The sequence below is a fragment of the Homo sapiens genome, chromosome 3, assembly GCF_000001405.40.
Source record: "Homo sapiens chromosome 3, GRCh38.p14 Primary Assembly".
Classification (NCBI taxonomy): Eukaryota; Metazoa; Chordata; class Mammalia; order Primates; family Hominidae; genus Homo; species Homo sapiens.
The window spans coordinates 47,286,092-47,307,374 of record NC_000003.12 but is presented as its reverse complement, the minus strand read 5'-3'; the positions used below and the strand labels follow the sequence as shown (position 1 = coordinate 47,307,374).

Here is a 21,283-nt window from a genome sequence, read left to right as displayed (position 1 = left end):
CAGGCCAGGTGTGGTGGCTCACGCCTGTAATCCGAGCACTTTGGGAGGCTGAGGTGGGCAGATCACTTGAGGTCAGGAGATCAAGACCAGCCTGGCCAACATGCTGAAACCCCATCTCTACCAAAAATATAAAAAATTAGCCACGTGTGGTGGCATGCACCTGTAATCCCAGCTACTTGGGAGGCTGAAGCAGGAGAATCGCTTGAACCCGGGAGGCGAACGTTGCAGTGAGCCAGGATCTTGCCACTGCACTCCAGCCTGGGTGACGGAGCAAGACTCCATCTCGAAAAAAAGACAAGTTACAAGTGAGAAAAGATATTTGCAAACATAAAACCAACAAATAATTAGTATCCAGAGTACATAAAGAACTCCAATAAATCAACGAATCATAATTTGAGAAAAAAAAAGTGAGCTTAAGACTTACCTAAAACTAGGTATTTCATAGATAATGAAACAGAATGGTCTAAAACAAAGGAAAAGATGATCAATCTCAGTAATAATCAGGGGAATGCTAGCATCACAATGAGATATAATTTCACATCCAGGAGAAGTCCAATTAGGAAGTCCAATAATACCCAAAGCTGATGATGATGTGGATGGACAGAAGAGCTCTTAAGCACTGCTAGAATGTATGTAAATTTACACAATTTCCACTTTGAAAAATAATGCCAATACTAACATGATCATGAAAAGTTGAACACGCACATACTCAATGACCTAGCAATTTAACTCCTAGCTATATACCTTAGATGCATACGCTCCAGAAAATATGTAATAAAATGTTTACATCACTATTCAGAAAAGCAGAAAACTAAACAAAATAAAAAACCACCTAAATAACCACTGAGAGGAGAATCCTAATTTCTGATATTCATATAATGGAACATTATTCATCAGTGAAAATGAATGAATTAAAAGCTACACACAACACAATGTAAAATCCCCAAGGGCAGGAATCTGACCATGTCAAAAATGTTTCCTCTCTTACAATGATATTTGCATTATGCAATATTTGATACATAGAAAATAATATCTGTAAATTAGGAAAATAAACCCATGAATCCATCAAAGGTCCAACATGCTTCGAAATAGTCTGTAGGTCAAAGAGGAGTCTCTAAAAAAGGAACGGAAATTTAAAAATACATTGAATGAATGAAAGTGAAAATACAACATATCTAAAGCAGTGGTGAGATTATGACACTAAATGCTTACATTAGAAAAGTCTCAAGTGAATAACCCAAACTACCTCTCCAAGGAACTAGAGAAAAAATAAACTCAAAGCAAGCAGAAGGAAGGAAATTAAAAGGAGCAGAAATCAATGAAATTAAAAACAGGAAAACAGTAAACTAATGAAACAAAAAGATGCTTCTTTGAAAATATTGATAAAATTGACAAAGACAGAAAAGACAAATCACCAATACAGGAATGAAACAGTCGATAATACTACAGACCCCGCAATCATAAAAATGATAACAGGAGAATACTATGAACAACTCTACACATAAATTTGACAACTGATGAAATTGACCAATTTCTTGAAAATGACAACTTACCCAAGATGGGGGAATAATTGAAAAGCCTTATAATTAACAAGAAAACTAAATCTGTAATTTTAAAATGCTTGAAAAAGAAATCTACCAGGTCCAGATGGTTTCACCAGAGAATTCTACCAAATGTTTAAAATAGAATTAATACCAATTTTAAACAATCTCTTCCAGAAAACAGAAGATTAAGGGATAACTCCAAGTTCATTTTATGCAGTATTACCCTAGTACCAAAACTAGACAGACAGTATAAAACAAGAAAAGTACAGACCAATATCCCTCATGAATATATATGCAAAAATCCTTAACAAAATATCAGCAAACAGAATTCAGCAATATATAAAAATAATTATATACCATAACCAAATAGGGTTTATCCGGGTTAAGGCAGACTTAATATTTGAAAATAAATCTATGTAATCCAGTATATTAATAGACTCAAGAAAAAAGAAGTGACACAACCCTCTCCATGCAAAAAAAAAAAAAAAAAAAAAAACTTGACAAAATTCAGCACTCATCCATAATAAAAATTCTCAGAACACTAGGAATTGAGGGGAACTTCCTCAACTTGACAAAGAACATCTACAAAAAACTTCTAGTATTCTAGTAAAACACTGAACGCTCACCCCTAAGATGCTGAACAAGGCAAGACTCTTACCACTGCTATTTAGCACACTCTTGGAAGTTCTAGCAAGCTCAGTAAGGCAACAAAATGAAATAAAAGGAATACAAATCAGAAAATAAGAAATAAACTATCCCTATTTGCTGATGACATTATGGGTTTTTTTCTTTCTTTTTTTTTTTTTGAAACAGGATCTCCCTCTGTCACCCAAGTTAAGAGTGCAGTGATCCAATCTTAGTTCACTACAACCTCCACCTCCTGGGCTCACACCATCCTCCCACCTCAGCCTCCCAAGTAGTTGGGACTACAGGTGGGCACCACCACACCCAGCTAATTTTTGTATTTTTTGTGGAGATGGGATTTCACTATGTTGCCCATGCTGGTCTTGGACTTGTGAGCTCAAGTGATCCACCCGCCTTGGCCTCCCAAAGTGTTGGGATTACAAGTGTGAGCCACAGCGCCTGGCCTGACATTATTTATGGTTTATGTAGAAAATCCAAAGCAGTTTGCAAAAAAACAAATAACCCTAGAAATAATAAGCGAGTTCAGCAAAGTTACAAGACACAAGATCAACATACAAAAATCAGTTGTGTTTTCCATGTACCAGCAAGTAACACTTGGAAACCAAAATTTAAAATAAAATTACATTTACAATCACTAAAAAAATTAAATACTTATGTGTAAATCTAACAAACCAATGTACAGGACTTGTGTGTCTTGCTCTGTTGCCCAGGCTAGAGTGCAGTGGCATAATCGTAGCTCACTATAGCCTCAAACTCCTGGGCTCATGCAATCCTCCTACCTCAGGCTCCCGAGTAGCTAGGACTACAAGATGCGCACCACCATACCCAGCTAATTTTTTATTTTGGAGACACGGAGTTTTGCTATGTTGCCCAGGCTAATCTCGAATTCTTGGCCTCAACTGATCCTCCCACCTTGGCCTCCCAAAGTGCTGGGATTACCAGCAAGATTGTTTTTATAGCTATAGATGATATTATTCTAAAATTTATATGAAAGACAAAGGAACTTGAATAGCTAAAACAATTTTGAATGAGAAGAATAAAGTGCAAATGGCCAACAAGCACATGAAAAGATGTTCAACATTGTTAGCCACTGTATGTGTGTATGTAGAGATAGGGGATATAAGGAAAATCTCTGTAGCTTTCACTCAATTTTGCTGTGAAACTAAAACTGCTCTAAAAAAATAAAAGTTGAACTTTGGGAGGCTGAGGTGGGAGAATCACTTCAGGCTAGCAGTTCGAGACCAGCCCGAGCAACATAGGATAGAGCTCATCTCTGTAAAAAAAAAAAATTAAAAATTAGTTGGGCATAGTGGCATGTGCCTGTAGTCCCAGCTACTTGGGAGTTTGAGGTTGCAGTGAGCTATGATCATGCTACTGCACTCCAGCCTAGGTGACAGAGAGGCCATGTCTCAAAAAATGATGATAATAAAACAAATAAAATCAATTTAAAAAGGGAATGAAATTCTGGTCAGGCACAGTGGCTAATGCCTATAATCCCAAGACAGGAGGCCAAGACAGGAGAATTGCTTGAGCCCTGCAGTTTGAAGCCAGCCTAGGTGACAGAACGAGAGCTTGCCTATAAAGCTGCTAAGCCCTGAGCCTTGAACGGAAAGGATGACACCAGCTGCCAGTCTTTTGGTTGTACAAGAAGATAAGGATGATGAAAACTTTTTCTGGATTGGTTCCTTTGAAGTTTTGTCACTGAAGTCAGGAAGTACCTTGCCAGTAAGGGATGGTCTTTTAAAGTTCTTTGGTATTGGACAATGCCCCTGGCCATCTGGAACCCCAAGAATTCACCTATGAAGGCATCAAAGTGGTCTACCTGCCCCCAAACACAATGTCTCTAACTCAGCCTCTAAATCAGGGTGTCACAGGACCTTTAAAGCTCATTATACACAGTACTGTATGGAAAGGATTGCCAATGCTATGGAAGAGAACCCTAGTAGAGAGAACATCATAAAAGCCTGGAAGGATTATACCATGGAAGATGCCATCATTGTTATAGAAAAAGCTGTGAAAGCCATCAAGACTGAAACAGTAAGTTCCTGCTGGAGAAAGCTGTTCAGCTGTTGTACATGACGTCACGGGATTTATGACATAGCCAGTCATGGAAGAGATCATGAATATGGCAAAAAGGTGAGGGGTGAAGAGTTTCAAGATATAGATCTTTGAGAAATTAAACAGCTAATTGATACTATACCTGAGGAATTAATAGAAGACAACTTGATAGAGATGAGAGCTCCCAAACCAGTGCTGGACAACAAGGAAGACATTCAAGAAGCAGTGCCAGAAAACAAATTGACATTAGACAACTTGGCAAAAGAGTTTCAATTATTCATGGTTTCTTTTATGACATGGACTCTTCTATGATACGGGCACTGAAACTAAAACAAATGGTGGAAAAGAATTGGTACCATATAGAAAAATGTTTGGAGAAACGAAAAAGCAAAAAGTCAGATAGAAATGACAATGTACAGTTGATCCTTGAACGACACCGGCTTGAACTGTGTAGGTCCACTTGTACACAAATTTTCTTCCGCCTCTGCCACCAGGGACAGCAAGACCAACCCTTCTCTTCCTCCTCCCAGACTACTCAATGTGAAGATGATGATGGTGATGAAGGCCTTTATGATGATCCACTTCCACTTAATGAATAGTAAATATATTTTCTCTTCCTTATGTTTCTTTTTGTTTGTTTGTTTGAGACAGAGTCTCGCTCTGTTGCCATGCTGGAGTGCAGTGGCGCGATCTTGGCTCACTGCAACCTCCGCCTCCTGGGTTTAAGCAATTCTCCCACCTCAGGCTCCTGAGTAGCTGGGACTACAGGTGCACGCCACCACACCCAGCTAATTTTTGTATTTTTAGTAGAGACAGGGTTTCGCCATGTTGGCCAGAATGGTCTTGATCTCTTGACCTCATGATCTGCCCACCTCAGCCTCCCAAAGTGCTGGGATTACAAGCGTGAGCTACCATGCCCAGCCATTGAGTTTTTAAACAACATTTTATTTTCTCTAATTTCCTTTATCGTAAGAATACAGTATAACACATAACATAATACACATAACATACAAAATATGTGTTAATAAGCTGAGCACAAAGGTTCACGCCTGTAATCCCACTGCTTTAGGGGGCTAGGCAGAAGGATTGCTTGAGGCCAGGAGTTCAAGACTAGCCTGGGCATCATGGCAAGATCCCGTCTCTACAAAAAATAAAAAAGTTAGCTGGGCATGGTAGTGGTAGTGTGCACCTGTGGTCCCAACTGCTCGGGAGGCTGAGGTGAGAGAATTGCTTGAGCCTGGGAGGTCGAAGCTGCAGTGAGCTATGATCATGCCACTGCACTCCAGCCTGGATGACAGAGCAACATCCTATCTCAAAAAGAAGAAGAAGAAACAAAACAAAACAAAGTTAATTGACTGTTTATGTTATCTGTAAGGTTTCCTTCTAGTCAACAGTAGGCTATTAGTAATTATGTTTTTGGGAAGTCAAAAGTTGCACTTTGATTTCTGAATGGGGGCAGGGGGTCAACATTCCAACCCCCACATTGTTCAAGGGTCAACTACATAGCTACAGTAAGACTGTGTCATATTGGTGAAGGGACAGGAACAAAGAACAATAGAACAGAATAGAGAACCCAGAGGTAACCTCACACAAGAATGGCTAGCTGCTTACTGACAAAGGTACAAAAGCATTTAGATGGAGAAAAGAGTTTCTTCAACTATCAATGGGGCTGGAACAACTGGATATCCATATGCAAAAAAAAAGAACTTCAACCTATACCTCACACTGGAGGCAAAACTTAACTCAGAATGGACCAAAGATTTAAATATAAAACTTAAAACTATAAAACTTTTAGAATAAAATATAGCAGAAAATATTCAGGACTTGGGGTTTGGTGAGAAGTTCTCAGACATGAGACCAAAAGCACAAACCATTAAAAAAAAAATTGGACTAAATCACAACGAAAAACTTTTGCTCTGTGAAAGAACCAGTTAGAATTAAAAGACAATCTACATACTAAAAAATATATCTGCAAACTACATACCTGACAAAGATCTATCTGTATCTATAATATGTAAAGAACTCTAAAAACTCAACAATAAAAAAACAAAAAACAATCCAATGAGAAAATGGGCAAAAGACATGAAAAGATATTTCATTAAAAAGGATATACAGATGGCAAATAAACACATAAGAAGATGTCCAACATCATTACCCATTAGCAAAATGCAAATTAGAATCCCAGTGAGGCCGGGCGTGGTGACTCAATGACTGTAATCCCAGCACTTTGGGAAGCCAAGGTGGGCGGATCACCTGAGGTCAGGAGTTCGAGACCAGCCTGACCAACATGGCGAAACCCTGTCTCTACTAAAAATACAAAAATTAGCCAGGCATAGTGGCGCATCCTAGAATCCTAGCTACCTGGGAGGCTGAGGCTGGAGAATCACTTGAACCTGGGAGGCGGAGGTTGCAGTGAGCTGAGATCGCACCATTGCACCCCAGCCTGGGCAACAAGAGTAAAACTCTGTCTCAAAAAAAAAAAAAAAAAAAGAATCACAATGAGATACCACTACTCATTTAACAGAATGGCTAAAATAAAAAACAGTGATCATATAAAATGCTAGGCTGGGTGTGGTGGTTCATGCCTGTAACATGGTGGTTCATGCTTCTAATCCCAGCTGGTCTTGAGCCCAGGAGTTCAAGACCAGCTTGGGCAACGTGGCAAAACCCATCTCTACTAAAAAATAAAAATAAAGAGAATTTAAATATATATATATACACACACACACACACATATACACATATATATACACACATATACATATGTACACACATATATACACATACACACGTATATACATATACATATATACACACATATATATATATATATATATATAAAATGCCGGTGAGGATGCAAAAGAATTGGGTCACCCATATTAGTCAGGGTTTTCCCGAGAAATAGAATGGGGAAGAAAGTAGGAAGGAGGAAAAGAAGGAGGTGGGGAGAGAGAGAAGGTGAGGGATAAGAGTGGAGAGGGGGAGAGAAGGGAAAAGGGGAAGACAGCGGGAGGGAAGAAGGGAATGGAGAAGGGAAAGAGGACAGGGAGTGAGAAAGAGAGAGGGAGGAGGTATGGCGGGGAGAGACAGAGAAACTTATTTTTATTTTAAGGAATTGGCTCATGCAATTGCGGAGGCTAGCAAATCCAAAATATACAGTGTGGCTAGCAGGCTGGAGATTCAGATAAGGTTTGATGTTACAGTCTTGAGTCAGAAATCTGCAGGGCAGGTGAGCAGGCAGGAAACTTAGGTAGGGTTTTTATCTTGCAATCTTTTTTTTTTTTTTTTTTTTTTTTTTTTTGAGACACAGTATCACTCTGTCACGCAGGCTGGAGTGCAGTGGTGCAATCACGGCTCACTGCACCCTGGACCTCCCAGGCTCAATCAATCCTCCTGCCTCAGTCTTCTGAGTAGCTGCAACTACAGGCATGTGCCACAACATCTGGCTAATTTTTCTATTTCTTGTGGAGACAGCGTCTCACTATGTTGCCTGTGCTGGTCTCAAACTCCTGGGCTCAAGCAATCCTCTTACCTCAGCCTCCCAAAGTGAGGTAAGATCATAGGAGTGAGCCACTGCGCCCAGCCTATTTTGCAATCTTGAGGAAGAACTGCTTCTTCAGGGGAAAGCTCAATTTCTGCTCTTTAAGGCCTTACACTGACTGGATGAGGCCCACCCACATTATGGAAGGTAATCAACTTTACTGAAAGTCTACTAACTTATTATTATTTTAAAATGAGATGGGGTCTCACTATGTTGCCCAAGTTGGTTTCAGACTCCTGGGCTCAAGCAATCCTCCCGCCTCAGCTTCCCAGGTAGCTGGGATTACAGGCACATACCACTGTACTCAACTAAAGTCTACTAATTTAAATGTTAATCACATCTAAAAAATATCTTCACAGCAACATCTAGACTGGTGTTTGACCAAACAACTGGGCCTAGCCAAGGTGACACATAAAATTAACCACCACACTTATATATGCCAATGGGAATGCAAAATGATATCGCTACTCTGGAAAATAGTTTGACAATTTCTTCTAAAATTGAAATACACAAACTGTATGACATAAAATTCTACTCTTGGGCATTTACTACAGAGAAATGGAAACAAGTTCACTCAAAATCCTGTACATGAATATCCATAGCAGCTTTATTCATAATACCTAAAAACTGAAAAATGTCCTTCGATGGTTGGAAATGGTTAGACAAATTATGGTACAATCATATCATGGACTACTACTGAGAAATATAAAGGAAAAAATGATCAATACACACAATAACTTGGATGGACCTCATGGGCATTAGGCTGGGTGAAAAAAGGTCACGAACTCTACGATTTCATTTATATAACAGTTTCAAAATGAGAGACAACAAATTCATGGTTGCCAGAGATTAGAGATGGTGGGTGGGAGGGGGCTGGATGTGACTATAAAAGGTGGCACATGGAGATCTGTGTGGTTATGAACTAGCTCTGTATTGTGGAGGTCATTAGTAACCTTGACAAGAGCAAATGGTGGTGGCCTGATATAACTAACTTATCTAATCCTTACTAAAACATGGGCTGCACCAAGGGGGCAATCTTCATGTTTCATGTTTCCTGGAATAGTCAGAAATTAATATTCAGTATTTGTCGAATAAATGATGTTTTTGAATGAGTCAACTCAACATATAATTGAGTCTGGTCATGTCAGTCCCCATTTTAGGGGGCTCCCTACTGCCTACAAGTCAGATCCAAACCCTAAACAGGTTTTTTTCTCTTTTTTTTTTTTTTTTTTTAGAGACAGGATCTCACTCTTGCCCAGGCTGGAGTGTAGTGACACAATCATAGCTCACCGCAGCCTCTAACTCCTGGGCTTAAGTGATCCTCCCAAGTAGCCGGGACTATAGGTACCTGGCCAATTTTTTTATTTTTGGTAGAGATGGGGTCTCACTTTGTTGTCCAGGCTGGTCTTGAACTCCTGGATTTAAGGCTTCCTTCTGCATCAGCCTCCCAAAGTGCTGGGATTATAGGTGTGAGCCGCTGCACCTGGCCCCCATCCAGTTTTATCCCCCACCATGACTCTCTTCTAAAAACTGTTGGCAATTCCCAGAAATTGTCTTGTTCCCTCAGGTTGGATTCTTATCCCCTCATTTTTCTGCCCAGTGAATTATTCCTCATCCTTGAAGATTAAGCTGAAATGTTCCCTCCTCTGAGGGGCCTCTGACTTCCAGGCAGTCAGCTCTCTCCTTTCTGTGGCACTTGGTACAAGCGTCCACTACAGCACACATTATATTGTCCCTAATGAATGTCTCTCCATCCAGGCTGAATATTCTTCCCAAAGAAAGGAAGGTTATATCCTAGTACTTAACACAGTGCCTCATACTCAGTTGTACTTAATGAATTCTAAAGCCTATTTCATCTAAAAATAGGCTTCATCTGAGATACAAACAAGTAACAAAATTTCTGATGAATTTTACCTCTTCTTTTTAACTGTTGACCTTCTGGCTCAGGACTGGCAGAGCTGGTCAAAGTGGGAGCTCAAAGGTGGAAAAGCATGACCTTCTCATCTCATCTGAAAATTCAGTTGGCTGAAGTAAAAAGCTCAAGAAAAAGATGGTGAGGCTTAGGGTCAATTTGTGGAGGGCCTGACTCCCAGGGTAACAGTGCATTCCCAGTCCTGAAGAAATAAACAGACCACACTAGCTACTTTGTGGGTTTCTAACAAGATGGCATATAAGGAAATGGAAGTCAGGGGGATTCTTTCACCTTCAATGCTGATGGCCTGACTGCCAGCCTAGAATACGGACAGAGAGACACAGGTTCATATAGTACTACCACAAGCAGAAATGATGAGTCCTCATAAACTCTTGGGGTTAAGAAACTGATGGCAAGTATAATAAAACATACTGGGCTCAGTCTGCAGTTTTCGATAGCATTTTAGAGCACACTCTTTGAACACTCTGTGATGGAGTTTTGGTCTCTCTGCTTTAGAGTGCCCCACTGGGTAGTGACACAGGAAGGGGGTGAGGAAGGAAGTAGCTGACCAGCTGACACTAAAAAAGGACTTGGGGCTCCAGTCCCATATGAACAGCTGGCTAAAACATTCAGGCTGCTTCCCACTTCTTCTAAACCCTCCCCCCACTTCCTACTACTCAGATCCAGCAAGGTAGAATGGGAGCAGAGGAAGGGAGAGAAGTGGGCAGAGTCCTCAGGAACCACTGAACATGTAACTATACCAACTTCAACTGATTTGCAGGTGTTTCTTAGCAGTCTAGACTCCTCACCATGAAAATTTAAGGAGTACACAGTCTGTACTCAATCGACCTCTCCAATCCCACCTTCCACCTTGCTCCTCTATGTCTTACTTATTTAAGAAACACTGTAGGTGTACTTTCATGCCTGGGCCTCTGAACACTCTCCCCTGGCCTGGAATGCCTCTTTCCACTGTGCCTGTCTGTCAAAGTCCTATTCATCTTGCAATGTACCAACTAAATACCATCCTTTCCATGCAACAGTCACAAACCCTCAGAACTGTAAATATCAGCTACTCCTTTGATGTTCCCTTAGGCCTCTGGTGATGCCTATGCAGTTACAGAATTTATCAGACTCTGCCTTTTCTCATAATTATTAATAATTGATGCATAATCTATCTTCCCCACTCATCTATAAATGCCAAAGACAGAGGCTGACTCCCATTCACAGCAGGGTGTCTCATGCACCTACAAGCACCAAGCACAGGTAAATGCACTTATATAGTATGTTGACTGAAGAAGCATCTCAAACATAAGGTCAGGGGTTAGTTAAGGTAATTCAGTAAATACTTTTAAGTGCTTGAAACATGCTAAGAACTATACTAGGTAAGAGATGGCTCACGATTCAGGAGTTCAACATCTAGAGGGGAACAAAAACACTCGAACCATCTACATCCTGCTCAGACCAGTAAGGGGAGTAGGACCAATGTGTGGCGGCAATGCTTCTCAAACTTTAATGTGCACAGGATGTAAGAAGCACCAGATTCTAGTTCAGTAGGTCTGGGGCGGGACCTGAAATTCTGCACTTCGAACAGGCCCCCACCCAGGTGATGCTGACGCTATTAGTCCAATGACAACACTAAGTAATGAGGGGTTAAGGTGCAGTGGAAGAGGGGGAGATGAACTACACCTGGAGGGATATGAGAAGACTGTCTTCAGAGAGATGGGACTTCACACAACCCCCCACTGTGATAGGACAGAGCACAAGAAAGAGGGCATGGGTCCCTTTGAGAAAAGAAAACTTTGAAGGGGCCGGGCACAGTGGCTACACAGCACTTTGTGAGGCCGAGGTGGGAGGATTGCCTGAGGCCAGGAGTTCGAGACCAGCCTGGGCAACAAAGCAAGACCCTGTATCTACCAAAAAAAAAAAATTTTTTTTTAAATTAACTGAGTGTGGTGGCAACACACCTGTAGTTCCAGCTACTCAGAAAGCTGAGGTGGGAAGATCACTTGAGCCCAGGAATTCGAGGTTACAATGAACTATGATTGCACCACTGCACCAGCCTGGGCAAGAGCAAGACCCTGAAGAAAGAAAAAAGAAAAGAGGAGAAAGAGAAAGGGAAAGGGAAAGCAAGGGAAGAAAGAAAAAGGAAAGAAAGCAAAGGAAGAAAATATGGAAGAAAGCTTGAAGCATGGATACGGCTCTGCTTGGCAGATGTGAGCAGATACTCCAAGCCAAAGGAACACTAGAGCAAAGGCCCAGAGGAGGGGGAACACAGTCATGGAGAGATGGCCAGCTGATGCAAGAGGACACTGTGGGAAAGCAGGGTAGAATAGCAGAGAGGGGCCACATCTGCAGGACTCTGAATATCAAGAATACAGCTGGCAGTCTTAGAGAAGTCAACCAGAATGGCTGTCAACAACAGAACATGCTTAAGCTTCTCCCTCTGACGTCTGAGACAGCAGTGACTGGTGGATTTCTATGAGCAGCTTAGAATAATCAGAGATTCAGTTAAATCAGCAGTCCTTTCCTAAATCCTACAGAAAACTAGCCACCACCTGCTGCTCCTGCATTCCCATTACCCCTCAGATATCGTGATTACTTAAAATGCTAAGCCATATACACGGAAAACACAAGCTTTCTCAAACATGAGGTAGAGGCACGTTTTACAACCACCAAGAGCTGAGCAGCTCTGCTCGACTCACGGCTCCGCTGACAAGTTTCTAACCTCTGATTGTCACTGTGTGCAGAACAGAATTTCCTTCAAGAACAAGTCAGAATTAGTCTTCTGGCTCCGGCCATTATCATCATCTCTCCTAAACCGAAGGGGAAAGTGCAAGCAAAACGCAGTGCTGTCTTCATGAACCATGGAATATGCATCCTAACTTTCTATTACCTTAGGTATACCTCTAACACCCTGCCCTGATTTTTTATTCATAAATACATAATTATTGATTGGTTTCATTCATTCATTCACAACGTATTTACTGAGCCATACCATACACATGCAAGGAACTGTGCTGGGCTGGGTGGCTACTTCTCTGACCTCGTGTCCTTCCACTTTTCTCCTTGGTCACTCTGCCCTTATCATTCTGGCTTCTTGCTGTTTCCCCAAAACACCAAGTGTGCTCCTGCCTCAGGGCTCCGTGCTTACTGTTCCCTCTGCCTTCAGATATCCTCATGGATTGCTCCCTCACTTCATTTAGATCTCTATTAAGAGAGGCTGGCTCCTGCTTTACTTTTCTTCATGGCACTGGTCACCACTGGACATCTTCCATCTGTTTATTGTCTGCTACTCCACTAGGATGTAAGCTCATACTCAAAAAGGCTTGGCCTACTCTGCTCACTGCTGCACCCTCAGCACCTAGAACAGTACTTGGCACATGGAAGGTGCTGACATACCTGCTGAGCACCCTGCTGAATGAAAACGAAATGAGAAGCCACTCAGAGCAGAATAAGATCAGAATTAAGCCTGGGGAAAAACAATCTGTTAGTAGCTCATTCCCTACAATGAAATCTGTTTTTCCCTAGAAAAACAATCTGTTAGTAGGCTCATTCACTAGAAGGTCGGTAAGAATTCTCTCAACATGCTAGTAAAGTTAAAGAAATCCTGGGTTAGGTAAAAGATGAAGAGGATCTCAATTAGGACAGTGGTTTACTGAGCAGCTATTATGTAGATACCTCAGTAAATAATTCAGTCACAGCCCTGCTCTTGTGGAGTTACAACACTATAAATAGTTATGTAATTACTATTGTAATAAGTGTCACAAAATACACATAAGAGAGGATGAGCCAAAGACAATCCCAGAGTTTCAACTGTGCACGACTAGATGGATTGTGTGCCCCCCTAACACAGAGGAAACAAAAGATGGGCAAGGGTGTTCACTTTAGACATAATGAGTATGAGGACCCACAGGACAAATGGGGTAGAATTATAGGTTTGAAAGCTATTTGTAATTTGCAGATGATGCCAACACACCTTTACTTGGAAGACATGTTAGCACGGCTTGTTTTGCTGGTCCTCAAAATAGCTCTGTCAAGGTTACACGACATTTACAGCTTACAAACCAACCCAAGAAAAATAAGCTCACAACACATCTGCATCTCCTAAATATGTACCTCTTAGAAGGCAATTCCTTTTAAGTGACCATTTGAAGTGCAGCTACAGGGCTGAACTAATACAATTTGACTCTTAACAGCTGAGGCACCAAGTACAAAAATAAAGAGTAGGAAAGATTACTCCTTAGCATCAGATGTTTCTAATCATTGGGTTTCAATAGAAAGACAAATTGTTTTTAGTGTCTACAGTCACAAAGCACTATAAGCAATCTCTCTTGCCCACCTGGTAACAAGTCTTCTTGAGCTAATTATCTTTTGAAAATTGGATTAAATATAAATAACATACAGTTTACCATTTTAACCATGTTCAAGTGTACAGTTCTGTGGCATTAAGTACATTCTACAACCATCACCACTATCTGTCTCCAGAATTCTTCATCTTCCCAAACTGAAACTATACCCATTAAACAGTAACTCTCCATTCCCCCTCCTCCCGGCCCCTGGCAACCATCATTCCACTTTCTGTCTTCATGAATTTGACTATTCTAGGTAGTTCATATAAGTGGAATCACACAACATTTGTCCTTTTGTAACTGGCTTATTTCACTTAGTGTAATGTCTTCAAGGTTCACCCATGTTGCAGCAGAATTTTCTTCTTTTTAAAGGCTGAGTAATATTTCACTGTATGTATATACTTTTTTTTTTTTTTTTTTTGAGACAGGGTCTCGCTGTTGCCCAGGCTGAAGTGCAGTGGTATAATCATGGCTCACTGCAGCCTTGACCTCCCGGGGCTCAGGTGATTCTCGCACCTCAGCCTCCCAAGTAGCTGGAACTACAAGTGCATACCACCACGCCTGGCTAATTTTTGTATTTTTTGTAAAGACAAGGTTTTGACATGTGGCCCAGGCTGGTCTCAAACTCCTGGGTTCATGCCATCTGCCTGCCTTGGCCTCCCAAAGTGCTGGGATTATAGGCATCAGCCACTGTGTCCAGCCATATACCATATTTTGTTTATCCATTCACCCAGTGGTAGACCCTTGGGTTGCTTCCACCTTTTGGCTATTGTGAATAATGCTGCTGTGAACATTGGTGTACAAGTATCTATCTGTTCTTGAGCTTATTTTTTGAAAGCTTTTTTTTTTTTGAGATGGAGTTTCACTTTTGTTGCCTAGGCTGGAGTGCAATGGCACGATCTCGGCTCACTGCAACCTCTGCCTCCTGGGTTCAAGCAATTCTCCCGCCTCAGCCTCCCGAGTAGCTGGGACTACAGGCATGCGACACCACGCCTGGCTAATTTTATATTTTTAGTAGAGATGGGGTTTCACCATGTTGGTCAGGCTGGTCTCGAACTCCTGACCTCAGGTGATCCACCCACCCTGGCCTCCCAAAGTGCTGGGATTACAGGCGTGAAAAGCATTTTTGTGTTCTGATCAGCTATTCAGAACACTCTGCCCACATATACCATTATATTGGGTCATATTTGAACTACAGTTCACCTATTTTGCCTGCCAAAAGCCCAAGCTCTGACCTTTACCTTCAAGGCCCTGAACACAGACTGTCTGTTTCACTGGAACGTAAGAGCCATCAGGGTCTCTGGCCTGCCATTCTGCCAGCAGCTAAGCATCCTCAGCTTCAACTGAGACAGAATGGGAGCATGGTGTCTTTAGTTAAGACTTTGGAAACATTCTGCTTCAAGTTCCAGCAGAGCGTGAAGGCTTTACAAATGAGATGCTAAATTTAACAGTAACTTCTATGTTACTTACTCACTTACTAATCAGTATAGTCCCATGATCACCTGTAGTAAGCTGGGAAAATTTTTTTCACTTCCGGTTCATTTGTATTCTTTAACAAGAAATGCTTCAATTCCTAAATACTGTGTTGAAACTACAGAAGTATATGCTAGAGCAATAAATAATAAAAATAAAACCTACTTCAAAAGCCTTAGAGGCCCTATCAGTATATAACAGGTCAGTAAACTATAGGCAACGGATTCAGCTCATGCTTCTTTTGTAAAGTTTCACTGGAACACAGCCACACCCATTCATTTATACATTGTGTATAGCTGCTTTTGCACTATAGCATCAGAGTTAAGTAGCTGCAACTGAAACTATATTACCCACGAATCCTTAAGTATTTACTATCTGGCCCTTTACAGAAAATGCTTGTTAACTCTTAGTTCACGCACCTTGGTTCACCCACTTTTGTCCCCAATTGGAAAAAAGTGGTGATGTAATCAGCTGCTTGGATGTTCTTCCTAAGGTCTTCCTAAGCTAACCACAGGCCAGCTGGCTGGTTCCATGCCAAAGAGGCAATGACAGTGCCAATACTCAACAAGTTCGAAAGTAGAAAGGTAGCTGCCATGCTTGTAATTTGGGAAGGGCTAGGAACACACATTTAGAAAAACAATGTGGTCTCATCTTCCATCAACTAGCCTACAAGCTAAACCAAGTGGGGCTAAGGGGCAAACAATGGAGTCTCATGTACAGAATAATAAAGGAACCGTCTGCAGTTAAGAAACATCCCCAAGCACAGGCTTCTTAAATGTACCTGGCGAGCCAGTCAGCCAGCCAGCAAGCTCCAGAAGCCTTAGGGTGAACATGATGAATGTTGCTTGACTGGTAACGGATAGTCCAGGCTGTACCTCCAACTCTCTTTCCCCACCCACATGTCAGGCAGCATCAAGCTCTCTAATTCACCTAATTGGTGTCCAAATTTAACAGCATTATTCACAACATAACTTGAACAAGGAGATTAAAACTGAATTTTTGATAGGAAATTTGTATAACAAGTGCTGTGCCCCTCAAGGAGCATGTTCTTCCTCTCAGTTCTTATTGCTCATTAGAAAGAGACAAGGCTGGGCCAGGTGTGGTGGTTCATGCCTGTAATCCCAGCACTTGGGGAGGTGGAAGCAGGAGGATCGCTTGAGCCCAGGAGTTTGAGACCAGCCTAGACCACAAGGTGAGGCCCCATCTCTCAAAAAATAAACAAAATTAGCCAGGCGTGGTGGCATACACCTGTGGTCCCAGCTACTTGGGAGGCTGAGGTGGGAGGATGGCTTGAGCCAGGGATTTCGACGCTGCAGTGGGCTGTGATCCACCACTGTACTCCAGCCTGGGCAAGAGATGAGACCCTGTCTCAAGGAAAAAAAAAAAGAGGGAGACAAAGCTAACTACACAGAGAGAGATAAACCTAACTACATGAAAAATGTCAGTAGAAAACCCTGGGAATGAGCAATATTCAGAAGCACAAGTTTTCCAATACAATGTCATTTCAAAATCAGAGTCAAGAATTCATATGTCTAAAAGACTAGTAGAAAAAGCCTGCATCTTCTCTCCTGAAATAAAATGTTGGTGTGGCATCTGGACATTCACATCTTTGCCCTCTGTGCTCAAGAATGACACTAAGGATGCTTTGTTCCCTACTATGCTTCATACCATCAGCAGGGCAGGTGAATAATCTGACAGGATGTAAAAGCATGGCTTCCACCAATAAACAGCTGTGTTAGATCTCAGCTGATACAGCTTTGTGCCATGGGCAAATCCCTTAATAGCTCTAAGCCTCAGGGTTTTTTACATCTGTAAAATGATGGCTTAAAAATGTTTTTATTTGTATAAATTTAGGGGTACAAGGGCAGTTTTGATACATGGATATATTGCATAGTGGTGAAGTCTGGGCTTTTAGTGTAACCATCATCCAAATAATGTACATTGTACCCAGTAATTTCTCATCCCTCATCCCACTCCAGTCTCCATTCATTCCACACTCTATGTCCATGCATTCACATGTAAAATGATAGCTTTGATAGGGAACCTCTACAATTCTCTTTTTTCTTTTTTTGAGACAGAGTCACGCTATTGCCAGGCTGCAGTGCAGTCGTTCAACTATGGCTCACACTGCAGCCTTGACCTCCTGGGCTCAAGCAATCCTCCCACCTCACTTCCCAAAGTGCTGAGATTACAGATGTGAGCCACCGTACCCAGCCTACAGCTCCTTTTAATATGATTATTCTAGCTCTATAATTAACCCTGTGTAACTCACTGTACTATATACACAACATAAAAATGGTATGCATCAACAAGCCCTTACTTCATTTCCTCATATCCTTCTCCACCTACTCTTTCATCACAAAGCCAGTGGTGACAACAAATTAGGCAAGATTCCAGATTCAAATGTGTAGCTCTTGAAGCCAATTTCGTGAAAACTGTGTGCCTACATTTAGTGGGTAACACAAGGAAATATTCTAATACTGTACCTTTCACCCATGGAAAAAACATTTCCTTCTGAGGGCTAAATTATCAGAGCCAGGTTCGAAACCTCAGCAGGGGCCTTGGGAAAATGCTGAGAAGACTAATGCCAGCAGATCTTTCAGGAACCATTTATCAGCGGTTGCAAAATAAAGGGTGTGTGTCTATATAGGGAGCTCCTCTCTCCTTTAAGCTTATGGCCCTGTGAATAATACTCAGGTTTGGTGACCTCATTATGCTGTCACTCAAAAAGAAAATAAATGTGTGAGATAAAGGGAGAGCAGAAATATATGAATTTCAATGCCTTACAGAAGCATAGGGGAAAAAATAAATATATAAAATCTGGCTCCAAATCTCATGAATAAGAAGAAAAACTCATTAAACCTAGCAAGTGTGCCCAACTGGCTAGACCCAGATGAATCAGACAATGCTTCCTGAGCCTTGGGCTCCTGGCAGCCCAGAGCAAAGGACACGAAACTCAACGCTGGGAAGAAGGGATGAGAGCGTCCATGGACACAAATCTCTCTACCTAGGCCAAGCCTTATGCCAACAAGTCTTGCACTACAATCCTCATAACTTTTAAGATAAAATGATTTGCCAAGGAAAAGGACCATGGGCTTTTTCTCATAACAGGTTCAAGCCATGGGAGATACAGAATGTGATTTTTTTTAAATGAATATGTTACTCTTTTCTGTCATGCCTCTATCTCACTATCCGACAGGCTTCCAGTGAATTTAAATTTCAAATATTTTCCAAAAGGAAATTAAGCCTAGGTTCAAGTGTTGGCAGTTAATTTTGAGAATGTGGCATGCCTGCTAATATTTATTTTCACGTTCTCCCTAAAATTCAGGAAGATAGAAAAGATGACACGCCATTAAGGATGAATACAGTAGACCTGAGGTAGATTAATTCACGTGGTAGCAGCTGAAATCAGTTCATTTACCGTCAGTGACAGAAGATGCAACAGGAGAGCATGAGAGAACACCTGACCCTGAATATGGAGACGAAGAGTCTAGTCCCAGTGCTGCTTAACTCAACCTGTGACCTTGAGTAAGTCCCTTCCCTTTCTGGGCTTGGGTCTTCATTTGTAAAGAGCAGGCTAATGAATTAGTGCAGTGGTTGGCAAAGTCTTTTTTTTTTTTTTTTTTTTTTTTGGAGACAGAGTCTCACTCTGTCCCCAGGCTGGAGTGCAGTGGCGTGATCTTGGCTCACTGCAACCTCCGCCTCCCAGGTTCAAGCGATTCTGCTGCCTCAGCCTCCTGAGTGGCTGGGACTACAGGCCCGCGCCAGCATGTCCAGCTAATTTTTGTATTTTTAGTAGAGATGGGGTTTCACCATGTTGGCATGGATGTTCTTGATCTCTTGATCTCGTGATCTGCCCATCTCGGCCTCCCACAGTGCTGGGATCAGGCGTGAGCCACTGTGTCCTGCCAGCAAAGTCATTTAAGGCAATGAACATTTTGTCCAGATAAAATCATTCAAAGTTCAACAGAAGCTAAAACAAATTCAAAATGGCAGGTTGAACACATGAATTTATCTCCACTCCTTCTAGAAACTCCATTAAGTTATTATTAATAAATATATACTACTGGCCGGGCGTGGTGGCTGATGCCTGTAATCCCAACACTTTGGGAGGCCGAGGCAGGCAGATCACTTGAGGTCATAAGTTTGAGACCATCCTGGCCAACATGGTAAAACCCTGTCTCTACAAAAATTCAAAAATTAGCCATGCATGGTGGTATGTAGCTATAATCCCAGCTACTCAAGAGGCTGAGGCAGGAGAATCGCTTGAACCTGGGAGGCGGAGGTTGCAGTGAGCCAAGATTGCGCTACTGCCCTTCAGCCTGGACAACAGAGCAAGACTCTGTCTCAAAAAAAAGAGAGAAAAAAAAATACACACACACACACACACACACACACACTACTGAGCATTTACTACATGATTATTTGAAGTACATTAACTAATTGAATCCTCAACACTCAAGTAGGTGGTGATGTGCATTTTACAGACGAGACAGAGAATCACCAGTGTTTAAGGAAGCTGCTCATTTTCACAGCTAACAAGTGGCAGACCCAGAACTCAAACGTAGGCAGTGTGGCTGCAGAGTCTGTGTGATACCGCCTTTCGGACTGATGATCAAGGAACAGCAAAGCTCTGAAGGAAAAAGATGCAGAGAGAGACAGCACATTAGAAGGGTCAACAAAATTTTAGAAGGGTCAACAAAATTTTAGAAGAAGAAAAGAAGACACATGAGTAGTAACTGACTTAGAGGATACTGAGTATTGCGGATGGCAAGCCACTGAAGAATCCCCTCCAAAATGGAACCACTGGAGGTACCAGTTTCCTCTGAAGTTGTGAGCAAGAAGAAGGGCCGAAATCAGGAAGTACTGGTCCCCCTCCCCAGACAAGCAACTGCAGAAGACTGGAGGTTTACTCTTCAGACAGGATGAACAAGAGCCTCTGGATCTGGGTAACCAGGGCACCACAGAAGACAAGGAAGTGGTACCATTTAGGGGGATTAAGTGAAAGTCTGCATACAGAAGGGAGAACCTCCAGACCTCTCCTACCATAAGGCTCCCAAAATAACAGCCAGGCTTATACCACCTAGGAAGAAGCCTGGAGGAAGATCTACGGACTTTGAACACATCCCACAGAAAAACGACAGGTCCATCACCCTACAACCATGGCTCTCAGAACGTGGTCCCAGACTAACAGTAGCATCACAGGGGAACCTGTCAGAAATATGAGTTTTCAGATCCATGCCAGACCTAATGAATCAGAAATTCTGGGTGAGGTCCAACAACCAGCGTTTTAACAAGGCCACCAGGTGATTCTGACGTCCACTGAAGTTTAAGAACCACTGCCTGACAGGGAGGCCCACCAGTCAAGAAAACATCTCACACCCAAAAGCTTCCAACCAGTTTTTCAGTGTCTGTTTACTTGAAAAACACTGTGGAGTCACCAGAAAACTGAAGGAAGACTTTGACAAGAAAGAGAGACAAAATAGATTTCCCAGGACAGCTCTGGTGGCAAGTAGTGAAATGTGCAGAGCCTGGTTTGCATGCTCTTTCCCCGGTCCCACCATTATATTGCTACAGAGCTACTCCTTGGGCTCTACAATAAAGTTTTCAAAATCAGTGAAGTAAATGCTCTCTACAGTCCCGTCCAGCTCTAGCCCATGCGTTTATACTAGTCCTTCCCACTGAAGGCTTTTTATTAAAGAGAGAAAAAAATAAATATACTGGTCCTTATGTTCTAGATCCCTGAAGCTAACACAGCAAT

The 21,283-nt window shown here is 41.9% G+C and overlaps 1 protein-coding gene across 8 annotated transcripts in view, besides 2 other annotated features; it reads right to left on the bottom strand.

The window, feature by feature from the left end:
* KLHL18 (kelch like family member 18) overlaps positions 1 to 21,283 on the bottom strand; it is a 63,873-nt gene that overhangs the window by 39,442 nt on the left and 3,148 nt on the right. The window contains exon 1 of one of the 8 annotated variants that reach the window (XM_047447818.1): positions 20,027 to 20,139. The exons of 5 other annotated variants lie outside the window; for them this stretch is intronic. The gene's annotated coding sequence lies outside the window, so the exon portion shown is untranslated. Of the gene's footprint in view, positions 1 to 424; positions 2,017 to 9,702; positions 14,134 to 20,026; positions 20,140 to 21,283 lie in introns of those variants that run through there. 2 more of the 8 variants (XM_047447816.1, XM_047447817.1) reach the window with 2 other exon arrangements.
* Positions 7,601 to 7,650: a silencer, noted in NCBI's record as "silent region_14308". NCBI's record gives its function as "represses an Ori minimal core promoter by ATAC-STARR-seq in GM12878 lymphoblastoid cells {active_cell/tissue: GM12878}" and the evidence as "EXISTENCE:reporter gene assay evidence [ECO:0000049][PMID:35858748]".
* Positions 15,566 to 15,675: an enhancer, noted in NCBI's record as "active region_19812". NCBI's record gives its function as "activates an Ori minimal core promoter by ATAC-STARR-seq in GM12878 lymphoblastoid cells {active_cell/tissue: GM12878}" and the evidence as "EXISTENCE:reporter gene assay evidence [ECO:0000049][PMID:35858748]".